General features: G+C 35.7%; 1 long non-coding RNA gene across 1 annotated transcript in view; it reads right to left on the reverse strand.

Moving 5' to 3' along the window:
• Positions 1-22,497, reverse strand: part of LINC00331 (long intergenic non-protein coding RNA 331) — a 52,732-nt gene that overhangs the window by 21,648 nt on the left and 8,587 nt on the right. Inside the window, exon 2 of the long non-coding RNA NR_046869.2 lies at positions 15,778-15,890. This is a non-coding gene — a long non-coding RNA (long intergenic non-protein coding RNA 331). The remainder of the gene's footprint in view (positions 1-15,777; positions 15,891-22,497) is intronic.

Raw genomic sequence — 22,497 nt, forward strand, 5'->3', positions numbered from 1 at the left:
ACCATTTTGGTCAGAAAGGATACTTGATATGATTTCAATATTCTTACATTTGTTAAGACTTGTTTTGTGGCCTAACACATCATCTATCACAGAGAAAGCTCCATATGCACTTGAGAAGAAGGTGTATTCTATAGCTATTGGACAGAATGTTCTGTAAATGTCTATTTGGTCCTTTTGGTCTAACATGTAGTCTAATTTTGAGGGTTTTTAAAAATTGATTTTCTGTCTGGATGATGTGTCCATTGCTGAAAGTGTGGTGTTGAAGCCCCCTACTATTATTATATCTCAGTCTATTTTTCCCTTCAAATTTATTAATATTTGCTTTATATACTTTGGTGCTCTAATCTTAGGTGAATATATATTTATAATTTTTATATTATTTCGGTGGATTGACTTGTTGATTATTACAGAATGACCTTCTCTGTCTCTTTTTACAATTTTTGATTTAAAGTTTTTTTCACCTAATATAAGTATAGCTATTCCTGCTCTTTTTGTTTCAATTTGAATGCAATATCTTTTGCTCTCTCTTCACTCTCAAGACTATGTGTGTCCTTACAGGTTAGTGAGTTCCTTGTAGGCAGCATGTAGTTGGGTCTTTTTTTTTTTTATTCATTCAGCCACTATATGTCTCTTGATTGGAGAATTTAATCCACTTACATTTGAGGTAATTGCTGATAGGTAAGGATTTACTACTGCCATTTTGCTAATTCTTTCTAGTTGTTTTGTATATTTTAGTTTCTTCCTCTTTTGCTGTCTTTCTTTGTTGTTAAGTGATTTTCTCAGTGGTATGTTTCAATTCCTTGATTTTTACTTTTGGTGTATCTACTATTGGTTTTTACTTTGTGGTTACTATGAGGCTTAAAAGAACAACTTACTGTTATAGCAGTGTATTTTAGGCTGATAACAACTTCATTTTGATCACCATAAGAAGCACTCTACAGTTTACTTGACTCCTTCCATTTGGAATTTTTGATGTTACAATTAATATTTTTTATATTGCATATACCTGCAGTTATTAATTAAACAATTTTGTCTTTTAATGTTTATACTAAAGGTATAAGTGATTTACATATCACCATTACAGTACTAGAGTTTTCTGAATTTGACTGTCTACTTACTTTTACTAGTGAGTTTTATACTTTCATATATTTGTATGTTACTCATTAGCACGCCTTTCTTTTACCATGAAGAATTCTCTTAAGCATTTATTATAAGATAGGTCTATTGTAGATGAACTCCCTCAATTTTTGTTTGTCTAGGAAAGTGTTTATCTTGCCTTCATTTCTGAAGGAGAGTTTTGCTATGTTTTGTTTTTTCTTCTCACCACTTTGAATATATCATCCCACTATCTCTTGGTCTATAAGATTTCTGCTGAGAAGTCTGCTGCTAGGCATTTTGGAACTTCCTTACATATTATTGGCTTTTTCTGTATTGCCGATCCTTAATTTTCAACAGTTTGATTATGTCACAGGATAGTCTTATTTGGATTGAATTTGATGGAGACTTTTGGCTTGCCTGCACCTAGATATTTGTATCTGTCTTCAGGATTGGAAAGTTTTCTGCTATTATTTCTTTGAGTAAACTCTGTTTTTTAAAAAAATCTCAGTTGTATTTGTTATAACTCCCCAGTTTATTTTGAAAACAGTCTTTTCTGACATATTCATATAAATTTGAGATGAGTTATCTCAGCATACACAGACATCTTCTATATTTTCTATAATTTTTAAATGCTGATGAAAGAATGCATATTAACATATCAATATTTAAGCATGCCAACATAATAGAACTTTTCAAACTTTTTAAATTAAGTTTTTTAACTAAGCGTATTCATATTTGACACTTTGACATTTGGGTTACATGTGCTTGTAAAAAATAGGTGTATTCCTCAACTGACCATAATGAAAATCAGCATATAAGTATCATTCTTTCTTAATTAAATTTTCAGGGACAAAGTGGTTTAAATGAGAGTAAATAAGCTGAACTCCTCATGAAATAAACTGGAAAAACAAAAATCAAGAAGTGTTAGAGGTATTAAAGGTTAATTTAATAATCTTTTTCTCTTTCATATCCTTTATGTATTTATTTATTTATTATTTTTTTGAGAAAAAGTCTCACTCTGTCATCCAGGCTGGAGTGTAGTGGCACAATCTTGGCTCACTGCAACCTCCGCCTCCCAGGTTCAAGTGATTCTCATGCCTCAGCCTCCCGAGTAGCTGGGACTACAGGTGTGCGCCACTATGCCCAGCTAATTTTTTGTATTTGTCATAGAGACAGGGTTTTTCCATGTTTGCCAGGCTGGTCTTGAACTCCTGAGCTCAGGCAACCCGCCAGCCTTGGCCTCCCAGAGTGCTAGGATTACAGGCATAAGCCACCATGCCCAGCCTCATATATTTTAAATATATAAGTGTTCACCATGGGTGTTTATGAATTAAAATATTTCTAATCTAGACTGTGAGCTCCTATTGATGGGGCTAGTGTTATGCAATAAAAGGCCCTGGGACAAAAAGAGAGAGATGGCTCAGTAGACTAGATTATTTAAGTCTCAGTGGGCTTAGATCTTGACCTGCACCTTAAAATAATGTTTTACTTCATTATGTTTGTTTCGTTGTTCTATATGTTGTTTGTTTCACTATTTTTATAGATGAGGCAAAGTGGGAGTTTCAACTAGTCTAATATACCTTATCAACTGTCTGAGTAAGATTTTTATTTATTTTTCTGCCAAGCACACTGAATTCCATCTACAATTCTTTTAAGATAAGAACCACTAAGTCAACTGGAGAAACAGCTGGGTTCTTGAGCTATGGAACACTATTACACTTTAGCATGTTGTCTGAGAAATGAAGCTCCTTAGTGGTGCTTCTCCTGGTACTTCACTGAAATATACATACTCTCAGACCATGCTGCAAGATGGGGCCTTACTTAAGCATTTGAAACTTCAAAGCAAGTGAATGCCTTCTTGGCTGGCCCTTTCTTTCTTCTTACAATTTCTTTGGGGTTTCTACCCACTTCTGGTTCCTCTCTTACAAAAGCCTCCTAATGCTTCTTCTTTTTTTCCCCCACAGTGGGCCTTGATGGACACTAGTCCAGAGTCCAAGACCCTAGCAAGATTAAAAAATATTGACTCTGAGAGTTTAAAACAAGCCTTTAGCAACATAAGTACTTTTTAGGAGGAGAGAGACTATTTAACTTATGTATTGGTACATGGGTTATAACGTACATGGTACATATATTAGTACATTGGTTAGTGCATTATTACATTAGTTCTAATTAGTAATTAGTACTAATACATGTACTAATGTACTAACATACATGTATTATTACATGGGCTAAATAGTCTTTCTGCCCTGGGAAAAATCAGTAAACATAAATACAATTGAATTTTGTGTTAAATATAAGTTGAACTTTTCATATCTTGCCTCTTTTCTGCTACACAGCTATTCAATCTGCATAGCTTGAGAAGGTCACCAGTTTTGATCTGCTCCCTTTTGCAGGATCAAGCAGAAATGCAAATGGTTCCATTTTCCTTCTGGATCATTCTTGCCTCATCATTGTTCAATATAAGTCTCTGCAATGATTAAGAGTTCTATATCTATGGTTATCAAACACTTGATATATAGCTAGTGTCACTGCAGAGCTGAATTTGTAACTTTTATAAGTCTAATAAATTTATTTATTTATTTTGAGACAGAGTCTGGCTCTGTTACCCAGGCTGGAGTGCAATAGTGCAATCTCCGCTCACTGCACCCTCCACCTCCCAGGCTCAAGCGATCCTCCCATGTCAGCCTCCCAAGTACCTGAGACTACAGGCAAGTGCCACCATGCCCAGCTAATTTTTGTATTTTTAGTAGAGATGAGGTTTTGCCATGTTGGCCAGGTTGGTCTCAAACTCCTGGGTTCAAGCGATCTGCCCAGCTTAGCCTCCCAAAGTGCTAGGATTACAGGTATGAGCCACCAAGCCTGGCCGAGTCTAATAAATTTAAATTTACACTTAAATAGTCACATGTGGCTATCACATTGGAAACTATCACATTGGAAAACATAGGCTTAGGTGTTCTGGAAAGCAACTTAATAGCATGTATCAAGAATCTGAAAATATTAATATTCTTTTAATTCAAGAACTATATTTCATGGTAAAATAGTAAAAGATTCCTACTCAAGAATGTGTATTTTAACACTTGCATTCTAAACAAAATTGGAAGAGTCAGATAAGTTATGATATATTCCATAGCTGTTAAATATTGGTTTAAAATGAAATTTAAATACATAGGTTAATGCCTATGTTGTTAAGTAAATATACATGGATTCAAACTTTCCATAATGTTATCCCAAATTTATATATGTGTATGTGTGTGTGCATGTGTGTGTATATATAATTAAAGGTATATTAAAGAAAACCAAAAAATTAATAGCTTTATTTTTAAAATAATGAGCAGTAAATGATTTTATTCTTTACATTTTTCTTGTAATTTTAAACTTTTATATACAGAATAGGAGTTGCTTTTTAAATGAAAATATACTCAGTAAACATTATTCTTAAAACAGTTGTAAGTAATATAGAAGACATGAAAGTAAAAATTGAGACAAGAGCATTGTATTTTAGAACTAGAAGGTAAGTGATAGAAGTTGAGAGTGCAGATTTAGGTAGACAGTGTCAGAAGTTGAACAAAAGGGATTGCAAAGTGAGTAGGGAGGAAATATCAAAAGGCTCTGTTTCTTTGGAAGGTACAACTCTGAAAGGAAGGAGGAAAATACATCATAATCATATCATATCAAACACTTGATGTTTTGAGTATCTACTAGGTATTGTACTTGACTTTTTACATGTAACTGACAAAACAGTTAAGTATTGTAATATCCATTGTAATAAAACTCCTAGTTTTATTATTATAAAACATAATAATGAAACCTCCTAGTTTTCTTTATTATAATGGGCATTACATTACTTACTCAAATTACTCAGAGAAACTGAGTAAATTGGTCTTGCAAAAACAAAGCATCTGCCACTAAAATTTGGTGACTTTGTACTATGCTCCACTGTCTCTTACAGGATGAGACTAGTAAGGTCAAGTGAGTGGTGGTTTTTGTTGTTGTTGTTGTTTGTTTGTTTGTTTTCCAGCTAGTGCATATCTATCTAAGCAAGGAGCAGCAAATCACCATGGCACGTGTATACCTATGTAACAAACCTGCACATTCTGCACATGTATCCCAGAACTTAAAGTATAAGAATAATAAAAAAGAATCGCACGGCACTGTGCTCTCTTACAATACATATTTCATTTCCTCATCGGTAGGGTGGAATAGCTAATATATGAGGATGGACTCCCACCAGCCTGGATTCAAATCCCTCTGCTCCACCTTGTACCCTCTGCATGACTGTGGGTAGGTTACTTAGCCCTGCCAGCCTCAGTTCCCTCATTTATCTAGTGGAGATAATATTATCTACCTCAAGAGCTGTTACAAAGATTGGGAGGATAATATATATAAACACACAATGCCTGGCAGAAAAATTACCCTGATGCACAGTGGATGCAGTTATTGATACTGTTTTTGCTGTAATATTGCTGAGGAGTTGCCCTGGATATTTTGGAAGTTATAGAGCGCAAGTCTTGAATCTGTTATCATTTTTAAAATGTGTTATATTTTACTATGCAAATACAAAATTTTTGTCACGGGCTGATTGATTCTCTCAACAAACATCTCTGAATCCCAACTGTGTGCCCAATGCAATACTAGGAAATGGAGATGGAAGAATGAATTAGACATTGGCCCTCTGCTAAGAAGCAAGTGGAGAGACATTTATGTACAGTGCTTAAAGTGATGTAGTGGATGCTCTGCTAGAGATAGGTGCTTACTGCTAGGGAAGCTTGAGGGAAGTAACACTCTGCCTGGGGTGGTGCAAAAGGCATCAAAGAGAAGGTGGCTTTTTAGAGTAATAATACCTAACACCATCTTCCACAGTCCATGAAGTGTACTGAGAGTTTCACATATTTTTTGAATTTTCTCTTCATTGTATAATTCTGCCTCCTATCACATGACTCTCTACAGGAAGTTGCAATATAAGCAAATCTCCTCATATGCTATTGAGAAAAAGTGAGGGTATGGGCTTCTCCAAGTGTATTCTTCTATGGGAAGCTACCCCTCACAGGCGCTACCTAAAAAGAATGCTGTAGTCAAATATATTTGAGAAATAAGTAATGCTTTTGCATCTTAAGAGTACTGCAGTGTATGGTAACATTTGCAGGTTCTAAGAAGACTTGTTGAGATTTTTTAAACTCAAGACTTTTCCCAAATAGCAACTACAATTAAAAAAATAATAATAACAATAGATACTTCAAAGAACTAAGGTTTGTGGAACTCTGTGGAGGTGCTGATTTAGGATGTATCTCTACCTCCTAAACAAACATCTGTATAAGTTCCAGAGTACTCTTTTTCACAGGGAGAGGCATGGAGGATGGTGACATCAGGCATATATTTTGGAATATTTCTAACGAAAGTGACACATGCTTGGCATGGTGGGAATGGTAGAAGCTGAGCAGTTAGTGAAGTAGCATAAAGTACAGAACCAGAAAATGGCAAAGCTGTAGAAGATTGTATTGTTTAGAAAAGAGGCGAATATGCTGAAAGTATAAGTTAAGCCCTTGTGAAATTACAGAAGGATGATGACATTACAAAGTTTTTAGAAAAGATATACACAACTACTATTACACTAATACGAAAGAATATACTGTTTATATTTTTTGCTGGTTATACTCTATCTTAAACTATTTCTAATTAAAATTTCTCTTATTTCCTCATATCCTCCAATATTCCAACATTTGGTTTTATAATATTATCTGTTGATTAACAAGCCTTTTGAAATCACTGAAAAATATTTTAAGATTATAGTATTTCATTGCATGAGTGGTTTTCAATGATACTGTGATCGTGACCTGAATTTTCTTATCAAGTATAACAAATCTTCTCTGATGTCTGGTTAATTATTGCAATTTGATGAATACCTGTTTAATGAAGTTGAAGTGATTCTAACACTTATATTTTACCTTAATATTGTTATGTAAATGGTTCTAGAAGATGATAAAATGATAAAAAGGCATATTCCAGGGATGCCCCTTTCTCTATTCTGATTCTACCTCTTGCACTTTGGCTCTTTAAGTTTTCTAACTGTCATCAAATCAGCACTTCCAGGAGGTAGTAAATGCTCCATTGGATGATGCACACATCAAAACTTTGGTCACTAGCTTGAACACACAGGCCCTCAAAGGAAAACATAAAAGGCCAGAATGGGGGAGATGGATTTGACTACATAGCAGCAAAGCATATTCCAGGGCTAAGCACCAGGTGTGGTCTGGGATCCTTCGATGGTGTCAGTGCTGGAACAAGCTTTGCCAGACTCAGGGAGAGGATTCCTAGGCACTAATGAGTAATTTGCCTCCACTGGGAGGAAAGGGGGTTACAGACAGCCAGGGACAGAAGTGTTCAGGGATCTGCTTTCTTTTCCTGTCCACTGTCAGCCCAGATTTTGTAATCCACATCTCCTGTTTTCCCATACTACAGTAACAACAACAACAAAAAAAAAACTAAGGTTTACTTTTTAATTAAATGTAGTACCACTTAGGAAGATGTATGTTAATCTGAGGCCAAATCTGCCGCCCTCAGCTTTACAAGTTGCTGGCCCCAGCAGAGCCTGTAAAGCTCTCGATAAGAGAGGCGAGGAGCAAGGTGCAGGTCCCTCAGCGATAACCTCCTGACTCCAGCATTATAGGTCTTTCTGCTGGAATTGAGTTCTACATCTTACTCGATGGGCTATTGTCACAGATGAGTAATGAACGCACCCTTCCTGAGTCCCGGGGTGCAGGAGGCAGTCGGTCAGGCCACAGGGAGGCCCAGCTGCAGGCCCGCGGCGGGCAGATAAAGGGAAGGCAGTTCAAGGCACAGGGACACCGGTGACTGTTCAGAGAGCAGCCACAGGACGGGCCTGTTGGCTGGGGCAGGGAGCGGGCGCATTAATCACAATGTTCCCTGGGCTAATGGGCAATGCCGAGAAAGCAGCCTGGACCCGCAGAACAAAGGCAGAACATGATGAAGAGGGCACATTTGCCAGCTGAGGGTTTCCAGGGTTGGTTTTTGGAAGGAGAAATAAAATAAATAATAGCTACCATGAGCACAAATTGCAGGTGGAAGGCATGATTAGGTAGCAGGTTGAGGTAGCGTCCTTTGCAAAATGGGTCTGGATATACTTCATTTGGATGTTTGATTTCCTTGCAGCTTCCTAAGGAGCTCAGCTCAGGGGTGAAGGGCATCCTCTTTGAGGAACAACACTGCAGGCTCGAGTTCTAGTAAGTGGCTGGTTGGCTGGTTATAATTTAAAAAATAATGCTGGAGGTAACTCCTGAGATATAACAGGTGACATAATTAACTATAGTTTTAAAATCCTTACTTGCAATGCATTATATATTATTCTTAAAATTACAATTTCATTGATTTATCAAATAGATCTTCATTTTTTTAAAAAAGAGTAACCTAACTAGCGTGGCTCCCCTTGACTGTTCCTTCCTTTCTGAGACAGATAAGGAGAGAAAAAAAGAAAGAGAGAACATCCTTCTAGCCAAGAGCAGCAAAACTTTAAAAGCAGAAATGAAAATATATGACCCAACTATTTCCATGAGCTTAAAATACTCCACAACTTTCAGGAATAATGATTTAGAGGGAGGTAAACCAATTGACTATTTTCTTTTATATTTTTATAGCAATTGTATTGGCCCAATTGATGAGGTGATTTGTTTAAATCATTTTTATTCAGAAAAATTTTATAATCTCCTTCACAGTTTTCAAAATAATAGCTTTAATGGTTGTTAGAAAAAGTTTTAAGTCAGAAGTTTTGGGAGAAAAAGGAAGAAAGGTGGAAGCAAGTACTAAGTAGAACAATTAATTCCAGCTGGGCCAAATAGGCAGAACACAGTTTCTATTCTGTCAAACCAGGAGCATCTCCTAAGTGTCAGGCCTGAGTGGCACAGCGTGATGAGCTTCCTGTCTAACCAGTCACTTGGACCGTAGTAGGAACGGTATTTTCTTTGCAATGGTGAAATTGTATTAGAGATAGCTAGTGGCCTGAGAGAGCTATGTTTTCATTTTCATTCAGTTTTATTTTTAAAAAATTTACTTGCTTCTGACCGGACGTGGTGACTCACGCCTGTAATCCCAGCACTTTGGGAGGCCAAGATGGGCAGATCACGAGGTCAGGAGATAGAGACCATCCTGGCTAACACAGTGAAACCCTGTCTCTACTAAAAATACAAAAAATTAGCCGGGCCTGGTGGCACGCGCCTGTAGTCCCTGCTACGCTGGAGACTGAGGCAGGAGAATCGCTTGAACCCGGGAGGCGGAGGTTACAGTGAGCCGAGATTGCGCCTCTGCACTCCAGCCTGGGCGACACAGAGAGACTCTGTCTCAAAAAAAGAAAAAAAAATTTACTTGCTGCTTTTTCACTTTTAGTAACTTTAGTATAGTAATATTCCTTCCCACCCCTAAATTCTATGCTTATTAAAGTGGCAGCATATTAGAGACATCAAACTAATTGTCAGCAAACTTAAGAATCTAGTTCTGCTTTGCCAATTGCTAATTGTTTGGGCTTTGCAAGCAGTTTCATTTGAGGGTAAAGGAGATCTCCTTTTCTAATCTTTAAAATGTAGACTTAGCAATAGAGTTTCATCGATTTTTTGCTCCTTCCCCTCAAATGCAATTAAACTACAAAAATCTTCCTGTTTCTCTATTTGCCTTTGAACAAGGCATTCAGAAATCTACATAAAATGTTATAATGAATTAAAGTATGCTACGTGTTCCATTAGTAAGAGTTATACTAAATTCATGTGTGTAGTATATGAGATGAAGTACCCTAGTGGCTCAAACATAGGAAAATCTTAGATTTTTAGATAATAACAACAGAGCATTCCAGCAACCGTAAAATTAATATATCAATTACAATAAATTGTGGTTCCTAATTTTCAGGAACTGTAATCATGAATAGGAAGAGTAGATACTTGGGAATTATTTATCTATGTAGATTTATAAATTCATATATATATAAATCTACCATACATAATTATATATATATTTTATATATATAGAACCAAAATACTTCTCTTATAATGTTCAAATAGAGTGTATAAATTTATATATTATATATATCCTATTTGAATATTATAAAATAATATATAAATATAAATATATATTTATGTATTTATATATAATTTATACATAATATATAAATATATAATATATTAATATAAAATATATTAAAATATATTAAAATATATAATATTGTAAAAATATATAATATATAAAAATATATAATATATATCCTATTTGAACATTATTTATAAGAGAAGTATTTTGGACCTATACCCAAATTTGGAGAAAGTATTTGATTGGAACCATAACCATATTTCTCCTGTGATTTCTTCTTGAAGCCTATCTGGGAGATTCTTGCTTATTTCCTGACTGCAGGAGGACCCTCACTTATCATTGTAATATAGTGACCTGAGTCCAAAGCAGACCCACCTCCTTCACAACAGGAGGGCATGAGTTAGAATGTATCCTCTGTGAAGAAATACCCAGGCCTTTATGGGGCTGCAGAACTCTCCTAACTCCTGGGTCATCATCTGGATAAATATATTTAGTTTCCATGCATGGTCCCAGAAATAAAGGAAGTGAACCAGAGGGCTCATAGCTGCTCTCATTTCAGAACAGTTGACTGTCCATTATTTATAGGAAATCAGGGAGTCCTATTTTGAGCCAGGAAAGAGGTGATTGAAGGAGTACATCATGATTTGAATAATCAATTCTGTTAGTTAACCTTCAACCCTCAGCAGTACCCCAATAGGCATAGGTCAAATGAGTATTAATGAATGTTTTTCTGAATGTGCGATCTGAGTGGGTAGGATCATCATAGTATTATCAGTTTTATGCTAAAATTTTAGATTTTACAAATGGCTGAATTGGCTTAAGAAATGTACAAAATGCATAATCTCCAAAAGAAAAAAAATACCCCCCCAAAAGTAGAAGAATAAGCCTAAAATCCTGGACAGAATCCTCAAAGTCTAATTTATTATAAATAAATAAAGAGATTGATCATGGATGAGAACCAAAAAATGTTATTTAGCTTCAAAACATGTCTAATATGTGTGTGTGTTTGTGTATGTGTGCATTTTTCCACATTAAAATTTGCTCCTATGGTGTTCATTTTGAATCCTGTAGAAGTATCAAGAAGCAAACTTCTTAATATATTAAAGACTGATAAAACAGATATAATGGTAGCAAACTTTATCATGTATTAAAGACAGATAGGATGGTTATAATCATGGAAGGCATGCATGACTGTTTATTTTTTGCTTTGTAAAGATTATATTGGTGAGAAAAAGAATATTCTGGACTGAAAATAATTCCGATGCTCCGTTTTCTAAAATGAGATTCTTTTTTAGAGTTTGCCGTGGTCTGTGCCATTACATATTTTGATGCATTTGAAGTGCTGCTAGAAAGAAACCGAGTTCTTGTTAGAATTTAAAACACAAGGATCCATTTCTGCCTAACAGTCTTGTAGTTGTACATTCCCTGAAGTGTATCCCATCTGCTTTTGGGAGCTCTCATTGCAATATGCAGTGATTGCAGGATAAGCACACCATTTTCCTGTCAATACTTTCCTATTAGCCTCCTGGATCCATACATCATCATCTTGCTGGCCTGCAGTTTGCTTATCTTTGTCTCAGAGGTTGCCTTTGATTTATCTAACACCCAAGCTAATGAGGCATGGAGCCCAGGGTGGCTCCAAGGATAATGCACTCCTGTATAAAAATGCTTAAGGAAGGATCAAGTGCTAATCCATTCTAGACTAAAAGGCCTTAGTCCTTCAACAAATGTTGTATTTCTTAATCGCTAAACTAAGACTATAATAGCTCCCCCTTAAGCTACTACCATCAGTAAAACCACACACACTAACTACATGCAATTTACCAAAAGAACTAAAAATTGGATTTTAATTTGTGCTTCCAAAAAAAAGCCAAAAAATGGTTTCTATCTTAGCAACAGTTATCAGCATTATTTGACAGCATTCTTATGCAAGAATAAGTTAGCTTTAATATTTAATTTACAGTAATAGTTTTATATTCCCTCGCTGGGACCTATGTTTTTCTAAAGACAAAAGTAACAGAAGCTACAGTGTTACTGTGATATGGATAAATCAAGCCAACCATTTCAATAATGGAGGTAATTACGAAGTGTACATATCCGAAATGTACCGAGTGGTTAGGGGTTGTTTAATTAACAGAAAAATTTCAATATCATCAGCAAGTGTGTTGGTATCACAAAAGCATTGTTAAGAATGTATTTAAAAATGGTAATGATTTTCATTATTTTAGTTATACACAATTTAGCTATAGAAACACTTTTCACTAATACACCGTGGATTCTACTTCACTGCAACAACACAGCACAACATGAAGAAGTAAGTGATTGAATTTGGTCAATGTAAATAACCAACCTAGAAATATAGGTCCAAAATATTTATCTTAGAAATAATGTTTAAATAGGATATATATATATCTATCTCATATATACATATATAAATCTACATATATAAGTAATTACCAAATTTTTCAGTGTAAAGAACCTTGAATTCACTCTACAGAGATTTTCTTAAACTGTTTTGCTTTTTCTATTAATCATTCGCCATAAAATTAAGATGCAGAAGTTTCTTCCCTTTATAAATCTTCTGCCAGTACTAGGATCAAAACTATTTTAGAGAAACAGAAGAGAGAAAAAGGAGAGGAGGAGAAAAGAGAAAGGAAGGGAGGGAAGGAAGCAGAGAGGAGGAAAGAAAAAAGCTAGTCGGTAACTAAACTGTGGCAAAAGTTCAAAGAGAAGAAAGGCTCACTCAGAAACGTTGTGCAACATTAAAATCTTTCACCCACTGGTTCACTCTGTGCCCCTGAGGACATGACCAAGGTAATAAGTCCCTTTATTGGTCTCTAACCAATGTTATTGAGAACCAGGGTGGAATTTAATAATGTGACATTATTAGGAATTGTTATTGAAATGTAAATGATCTTCAGTTCATTTATTTAAGTCACATAAAGAACATAGTTTAGAATGAAAATTACTTATTGATTATTAGAGCAATTAACAGAATAAATTTTAGTGCTGGTATTAACATTTTCCTAAAGTCCAAACTGTTGCTGCTTAAACTCAGCAGGACACTTAATTAGTCTGGGACTCAAAGATTATCTTTTTTGAGAGAGTTACCTTTAAAGGATTTTTTTAAAAACAAGAAATTGATTGCCAAAATTACTCTAAAATATCCGAACTTTCAAAATTTTGGCTTTTAGTAGGGGAGAAACATCCCAGAATAAGATGGAGCTGCATAGACATAATTGCATAAGTAAAGGAATAGAATATTCTAATTTTGCTTTATTAAAAGAAACTTTGAAGTCTATTAAAGTGGAATCTGTAATGTCAATTTCCTTTTTTTCCGTTTTTGCTAGTTTCTGTCAGCATCATTTGACATTTTAGGGGTTGACTTTTCTTAGTTGTAATTCTTTCTTTCCATTAGTCTTTATTTTAAAGATAAGATCAGTTCTTAGAATACAGCTTTGTCAGAACTTGAACATCTTTTCGATGGCTTTCTAGATGTGATAATGATGTATACATTTACATATAAAAAGGTGTATAATAGGCTGGGCACGGCGGCTCACTCCTGTAATATCAGCACTTTGGGAGGCCGAGGCAGGCGGATCAAGAGGTCAGAAGATCGAGACCATCCTGGCTAACACGGTGAAATCCCGTCTCTACTAAAGATACAAAAAAAAATTAGCCGGGCGCGGTGGCGGGCGCCTGTAGTCCCAGCTACTCGGGAGGCTGAGGCAGGAGAATGGCGTGAACCCGGGAGGCGGAGCTTGCAGTGAGCCGAGAAGGCGCCCACTGCACTTCAGCCTGGGTGAAAGAGCGAGACTCCGTCTCAAAAAAAAAAAAAAAAAAAAGGGGCTGTATAATAAAGATAATTCAGTGCATAATTCAACACCCAAATCTTTGAGATTTGCTTGAATTATTTTGATGTCACCGGCAAAGCTGCTGTTTTTTTAACCTATATTATTGCAATTAGCCTCATCCCAGTTCACCTACCATTGTGATGTACTAGAGACTTTTCAAAGGGAATTTCTAATTTACTTAACCTGTTAACTGACATCACTATTATGTAGTCTTAAACGATATTGTAAAGTCCGAGTGAGAATTTTGACTAAATTATTGTGTTAGTTTCTTGATGTTGCCATAGTCAAGTGGCTTTAAAAAATAGAAATTTATTCTGTCACACTTCTGAGGGCTAGACGTCCTCAAGGCGTCAATAGGGCCATGCTCCCTTGGAAGTCTCTAAGAAAGAATTCTTCCCTGCCTCTCCTAGCTTCTGGTGGCTCCTATAAATCCTTGACATTCTTGAGCTTGTAGATACATCACTTTAAGCTGTTTGTCTTCACATGGCCTTCTCTGTGTGTCTCCTCTGTGTGTCTCCTCTTATAAGGACACCAGTCTTTGGATTTACAGCCCAGTATACTGGATCTAACCCAGTATAAGCTCATTTAATGTGAATATATCTACAAAGATCCTGTATCCAAATAAATTTACATTCACAAGTATCAGGAATAAGAACATTATCATATCCCTTTGGGGGATACAGTTTAATCCACTTTAGTCATATAAATAATGATCCTTAACTTCCACCTGCTTCATTTATAATAGCTACTGTGTAGTGAGTGCCTAGCATGTGCCAATTTGAATCCTTTTTTAAACCTATATAAAAATATACTATAATTCCAATTGCACACAAAGAAACTGAGTTTTAGATACCTTACCCAAGACCAAAAAGCTTGTGAATGGCAAAGCCAGTATTTGAATTGAGCCCTTTTCCAAAGCCCATACACTTTTTCCTGTGTGATCTTCATGAATTAAAGGGAACATGAAGTGCTTATATTTGGTTTTGTGGTAGACTCACTCTAAATAAAGATGAGCTATATATGTAAAACTTCATATGTAATAAAAGAAAACAATGTATAATCAAATCCATGAATGAACACTACACTGAATACAGACCCTAAATTTGGAGGTACCCTGAAAGACAATGGTATCACTTGAAGGTTCCATCCAATGTCCACTTTTATGGTTTCAATGTTACTGCATATTTTAAAGAGATATATGTTAAAGGATATTTATAAAGCAGACCAGTGAAATTTGTGAGGTTGAAATAGCTGAACACATCATTTCAGAAAGATCTTACAAGGATAATTTTAGACATGGGCACTCTGTTTATATTAATATGTGTTGTATTTTCAAATTGCTATGGTGTAAAATTTCTAAATCAACATTATGCATGCTGATGCTTCAAGTACTTTATGAAAACAGTTTATTCTATCTCCAAGTGAAAAAGGTAGAATAAAGTTTTTTGTTTGTTTTATTTAACTTTTATTTTTGTTGTTGATATATTTTGTTAAAACACACCGATCAACCAACTGTTTGATTGGTGTTGACAGAAACCCACAGACAAGTTATGAGAAGAGGGGTGCATGTGCAGGTTTGTTACATAGGTAGACTTGTGTCATGGGGTTTTGTTGTACAGATTATTTTATCAACCAGGTATTAAACCTAGTACCCATTAGTTATTTTTCCTGATCCTCTCCCTCCTTCCACCTCCACCCTCCAATAGGCCCCAGTGTGAGTTGTTCCCCTTTATGTGCTCACATGTTCTCATCTCATCATGTAGCTCCCACTTATAAGGAAGAACATGCGGTATTTGGTTTTCTGTTCTTGTGTTAGTTTGCTAAGGATAATGGCCTCCAGCTTCATCCATGTTCCTGCAAAGGACATAATCTCATGTAAAATGAGTTTTAAACATTATTTCCTTATTATACAATTATTATAAACAAAATATTCTTATGAGACAGTGCATTTGTTTGGTTATTATAAGTAAAAATGGGCATTTCAAAATTCTATTTCTTGGCCATTTACAATTATTTTTTTGCCTGTTTATGTTCTAAGCTCTTTGTGTAATGTGTATGTTGAAGGGATGCCTGGTTTTTTCCCTGCACGTTTTGCATGAACTCTTTCTACATTAAGGATATTAACCATCTGTCTAGACCTGTTGCTTAATATTTTTCTATGCTAACCTATTTCCCTTTAACTTTGTTTATGGTGCTTTTATCTTAACTCTCCCTCCCCATTTTAATTCTTATATAATCAAAGTTATTGTTTTGTTTCTTTATGGTTCTCTTTTTAAGGTCTTGTTTAAAAAGTCATTCCATACCTCAAGGTTATATAAGTATTTTTCTAGTATTTTTATGGTTTTAACCATTGTCATGATCTTCTTCATAATTATTATTTTACATTTCAATATTTGATCCATGTGCTGAATGATTTCATTCTCATTAAGTACCAGGAAGAAATACTGTTCTCCTTAAGTAAAGTAGCAACTATGATCTGCCAGACTAGAGAAAGATGCTCCTTGCCAAGAAAGCTGCTGCAGAGTCTCACTGAATCTCAGATTCTTCTGCCTGCATTTAGTAACACGAGATAAAACCCATATGCTGTCAAATTGCTTTCCTCATCCTGGTCTCAGTTTCTCTATTATTGAACTGTGAAGTATTGCACTTGTCTCTAATTCTTCAGAAGTTATTGTACATCAAACAACCGCCCCTTGATTGTGCCATTTATTAGTTAAGAGTACTAGATCATGTTTAATACAACAGATGAGGAGAAATTATGAGCGCTTAGCATAGCCTCTGAGCCTGTTTGCTAATGTATAAAGTGGAGATGACAATACTCCAGGTTGATATGAGGAATAAATAAAATGATTTATGCAAAGCAAATAAGAGTTGAAATTACTGTTAATGTTATTAATGTTATTAATATTTTTCAAGTCTGATAAAAGATTTGGCTTTGGGGAGTTTTTAATATCCACTAAGTTAGGCCTTATTTTTTGGATTTCAATTATCTGTACTAACTCTGTTCCTATTGGAGGGTTAATATAGATCATGTGGGGACATTGGTATTTAACTCAAGGAAATTGGATGTGTTTACAGTAGCTAAATAAAGTAGGGTTCGATGAAAAAAATGCACTTTAAAAAATTCATCTTGGGGCACAGCCACCAAATACTATTATCTAAAAATGGTTGGAACAGAGAGGAAGAACAATAATAACCTAAATACTTGAAAACATCACCTAGGGACACTTAGAGAATGCTTGAATACATTTTATTTTGCAATATTTAGTGTTTTATAACAATTTTCTTTGCATTATGTGTTTCAAAAGATAGAATGCAGATGGTATTACAATTTATACCTTTTTCATTTTTATTTTTTAAGAACTGAATTGCAAGATTGAATCAGACAACTTAATCATCTTCTTAAAGACTAATAACAAAATAGATAAACCAGGTGGAGAATATAAACTACTGCATTCACTGGAGCATATACAAATTCTTAATTTTACTGGAAATTTCATTTGAGTCAGCAAAAACATACAAGGGCTTTGTTCTCTGAACCAATCCAAGCACATTAAGTCAATAGCAAACAATTGAGCAACTGTCACTCTCCTGTAACTTCATCTATCAGAAATAAGCTTTAATTACAGTCTTCCACAGCGCTTATTCAGTATTCTAAAACTACAGTTATAAAAGGATATTGTCAGAGGTGAGTAGGATTTATTAACTTATTATTTTTATTAATCTTATTTACCAGTAGGCTTCATTGCCCTTCACAACCCTTCAGAATAAAAACTGTCTCAGATCATGCTGGAATCTTTTAAAGTTTATTCACTACACCAGGAAAATCTTAATTTCATAACTCATGTGTGTGTGTTTGTGTGTGTGTATGTGTGTGTGTGTTTCTGTTTTAACTATTGAAGATATTTGCTTCAATATTTGCTTCCTCTATTCCCTAAAATCAAGTGTGTTTTCAGATGGTTATATTTTTCAGTCTACATAATATTCTGTATTATATAAAAATTTCCCCATGTTAATCATGGGCATTATTAATTAAAAACCACATGCTTAGTAATTAGCCTGTAGGGTTTGTCCTCCTGCCAGGACAGGGAAGAATCCCTGGATGGAAGACTTCACACTGACTAAGCTGATGCTGTGCTTGCTGTTAGCCAAAAGGCCAAGCAGTAAGGCAGCCAGTTGGCTGGAATTTAGCAGTCCGTCAAATGGTTTAGTCCCTGCTGGATGTAAAGTCATGGAGTAGATGCCATGGGGGCTCTGTGATGAAGCAGAAGACATAAAAAGAGGTTCAAAATCTAATGAAGCGAAAGGACTATTGAAAATGGAAATAAACAATTATACAACTAACAGAAATGATGAATAAATGATTGGTTTTAGCGATTAAATATTCCGTACTATGTAATTGTTGAGTATTATAGACACAGTCAAATTTGCGTTTTTAAAAATTCTTCTTTGGGCAGTTTTTTGCTTCAGGACTTAGAGCTAGACTACCTTTAGCCATCTTCAACTAATACTGCTGATTGCCTGCCTAGTGGCTGCTCCTCTCTTCCTCCCTCCAACCAGAATTCCAGGGCTGTTCAGGCATCTATTTCTCCCCTGACAGCCCGTGGAACTCAGGGGAAGCTGAATCCATCTTTAGCTTGAAGGGACTCCAACTGCCATTGGTCCAGCTGTGGTGGGCATGTGACCAAGTTGGACCAATCAAATGAAAAGAAAGGCTTTCATTCCACGCTGGGGAAAGAGTCTTTCTCTTTCAGCCGAACATGAATAAGGAAGGTTGGGTCCCAGCTGCTGCTGGCAGCCCTCCTGCAACCAAGAAGAAAACCAGCTTGAAAACAAAGCTGACATATACTGAAGGCATAAGACAAAGAGAAATGCCAAAAGTTGGAGCTGCAGCCCTGCCTGTGGAAGGTCTTAGGTATGAGGTTATCATACCTAAGGCTCTGTTATGTGAGATAATATATTTATAGCTTTTAAAAGTCAGTTGTAGTTGGAATTTCTGAAAGGATCCTAACTTCTGTATCACCTTATAAGGAGGCATTTATCATTGAAGGCAATTATGTACTGCATTTTACATAGCATTTTAATTCATTGTATGATTCTTGGTATGTCTTTTTTAAGTACACATTTATGGGGTACATGTGCAATTTTGTTACATGCATAAATTGTGTAGTGGTCAAGTCAGGGCTTTTAGGGAATTCGTCACCCAAATAATGTACATTGTACCCATTAATTACTTATTATCCACCCCTCACTCTTCCAAGTCTCCATGTCTTTGAAAGCTGCCTGACTTGGCAAGCCTGCTGTCTACTAAAGAATGCTAAAACATCTGGACAGGTAATAATAGATGTGTAGGTAAATAACAGGCAATCTCTATAAAGTATTTAGGTTTTTTAAAAAGCAAAGATAAATGCGACATAATGTCATGTAATTATGCATTATTTTTACTTGTTGGGTCTCCAAACTCAACACATAATAAGAATATGTCCTTCATACCATGCACTTGACTTAATAGAGAGCATCGGGATTTCAGTTTATGTTAAATATAATCCTCAAAATCTAAAAGGAAAAGTCTTCAACCACTCTAATTCTTTCTTTTCAATCAAAGTTTTACATAGATCATGTTGATGCAGGTAAAAGGTGAGACTCATAGTTATGCACCAGGCTAGAAAAATTGCTCTAGCCCAAAAGATTGAAAAGGCTTCACATGGCTGATACACACACCAGAACAGAAGCATGCCTGGTTGAGAGCTCATTTGCATGAACTCTTGCTCCCCAGGTAGCGATCCTAGCTACTAGAAGAGTAGGCTGTCTTTCTCCATGGGTTCTGGGGCTCCTCTGAAGACTGACCTTTTCCAATTGCAAATCCAGTATCATATTCTGTAATTTGTGCAGAATGGTAAACTGGAGGTCATTCACTTGAGTGAGATCTTGGGGTAGACTGGGCTTTCTGGGCACTTTCTAGTACTCTTTGACCTTGAGTTAAGACTCATCAGATACACACTATTCATGTTGGAAGATGTGGTTCAGTGACTTGCTTATATAAAGGATATATCTCTGAAATTAGGCAAAATATAAGAGAAACTAAATTTAGAACATCTCATTCAGAAGGGAAGTGGACTATTGTTTTCTATATCAATTGTGAGGGTACTTCTGGCGATATGTGTATATTTCATTGGGTAACTCGGGAAAGTGAATATGTTATTGGAAATAAACCTTCAGACTATTTTCATTCGTTAACTCTACCGTTACAGATTTATTGAGCATTAACTTCACATCCTGTATTGAGCCAGAAGCTGAAGATTTGTAAAATAATCGTCATGGTCCCCACACTCATGGTGATTATGGTCTGGTGAGGAAAGCAGACAGAAATCAGATGATCATACAGGCAAAGATAATATTAGCTCTGTTTAAGTTCTGTAATAGAAAGTTATATGGTGCTAAAGAGCAGAGAGAGAGTGTGCTAGAGAAAATTATTAACAGACTGATCACAGAAGTCTTCTGGGGAAGTTCACAAGGAAAAGGAAGGAAAAAAATATACAGCGAAATGAAACATCCTGTGCAAAGGCCTGGTGGTTTGTGGTTGAGGGAATTCATCTTTACATTGTTACCATTTAGTTGATTATTTGGCATGTAGTAAACACTCAGTAAATGTTTCATAAGTGAATGAGTAGAATGGCTTAGCATATATTTTATCTTTTAACCATTGCCTTCTGAAATGAAGTATCCAACAGCAATTTTTCATTAATTTATTCACATGGTGGGTGTTCAATACATATTTATGGAATGACTAAACAATTTTTAAAAGCTTTTTTATACCGTCCAGCCCACAATGATTTATAACTCATTTGAATTCCTGTATAGAAATATTTAGAAATATAGTTAAAACAAATTTATTTACATTAAATATAATTTATTCACATTAAATATAATTTATTCCTAAGTATAATTTAAATATAATGTTTTATAAATTATTAAATTATATTTAATATTATTTACTATAAATTATTACATTATATTTAATATAACTTATAAATTTTATTCATTTAGGAATAAACATTTATTTGTTTTACCCATTTATTATCAAGAGCTGTTACACAGGATGAGTCAGAACTCTTCTCCACCCTGAGGCTCTGAGACTCTGAAACCCAAAAAACTGTTGGTTGAATCTGAATATAAGAGTGAAGGAATGAGTGAATGAACAAATAAATGGAAATAAAGTGAAAAGGCTGTGCTGAGAAGGTTTCAGCAAGCTTTTCTCTTCCCCCAGTTTATCCATGGAGCGTTTCTTCTCTGTACGCTCTGAATTCAGGTCAAATCTTGCTTCTGGTCAGTTCAATATGAATTCATAACTTTCCTCCCCCCAAAAGAAATTGAAAATAAAAGGACAAAGGCAGATAGAGGAAACACTCTTTCAAATGTAATTCACAGAGAATATGCCTCAGAATCACTGTGGAACTGTGGATAGAGTAGGTCGTGCTGTGAAGAGGCTTTTTAAAAATTCAGATTCTGGGTTCTGGCTCAGATATTCCATGTCAGAATGTCGGGGTTGGGGGGAATATCACAACAAAGTGAATCTGCAGTCTTAACAAGCTTTCTTAGAAATTCTCACACTAAAATCTGAAACTGGTACATTCTCTGACTAAAAGGTGAGAATTGACCTTCCCTTTAATGAGGATACTTAGTCTAGGGCACTGTCCATGGTTCCAGAGATGGTTCTGTGGCTCCAGTGCAGAAAAATCCAGAAATTGACCACAGGGAATCCATTTCCACTGGGAGGTTTCTGCTTCTGAACTAAATTGCACACACAGTCTATTATTAATATGTAGGGAGTTAGAGGTAGGAATTCTGGATTTCTAGATGAAGCAAGCTTTAAGGAATAAAAATATGACTGCTCTGAATTTAGAGTGGTTTATAGCATACAAGGATTTTAGGACTAGAAAATAGAGCTAAAACATTTGCACTAGCAATGAAGCGAGGGTCCTGGCTGTGGTCTGATAGGATTTACATGGGAGATGATAAACCTGCAACTATAGCCACCATTCTCTATCCATGGGAAGAACAGACAGAGGAAACAGAACTACGGCAGCATGAATTTGAGTTCAGTATAATGTGTACTTTCCAGATCCTGACACTTAAAAATGCTGAATTGAGTTTTCCAGAGAGGGAAGTTTTAGAGTCTCTATCATTCAATGTCTTTTTCTTTGTTTGTTTTTGAGACAGGGTCTCCCTCTGTCACCCAAGCTTGAGTTCAGTGGTGCAATCATGACTCATTGCAGCCTCAACCTCCCAGGCTCAAGTAATCCTCCAGCATACCTGGGACTACAGGCGCATGCCACCACACTTGCGTAATTTTTAAATATTTCTGTAGAGATGAGGTCTTACTATTTTGCCAGGCTGGTCTTGAACACCTGGACTGAGGTGATCCTCCTGCCTTGGCCTCTCAAAGGGCTGGGATTACAGG

Source organism: Homo sapiens, chromosome 13 (genome assembly GCF_000001405.40).
Source record: "Homo sapiens chromosome 13, GRCh38.p14 Primary Assembly".
Taxonomy (NCBI): domain Eukaryota; kingdom Metazoa; phylum Chordata; class Mammalia; order Primates; family Hominidae; genus Homo; species Homo sapiens.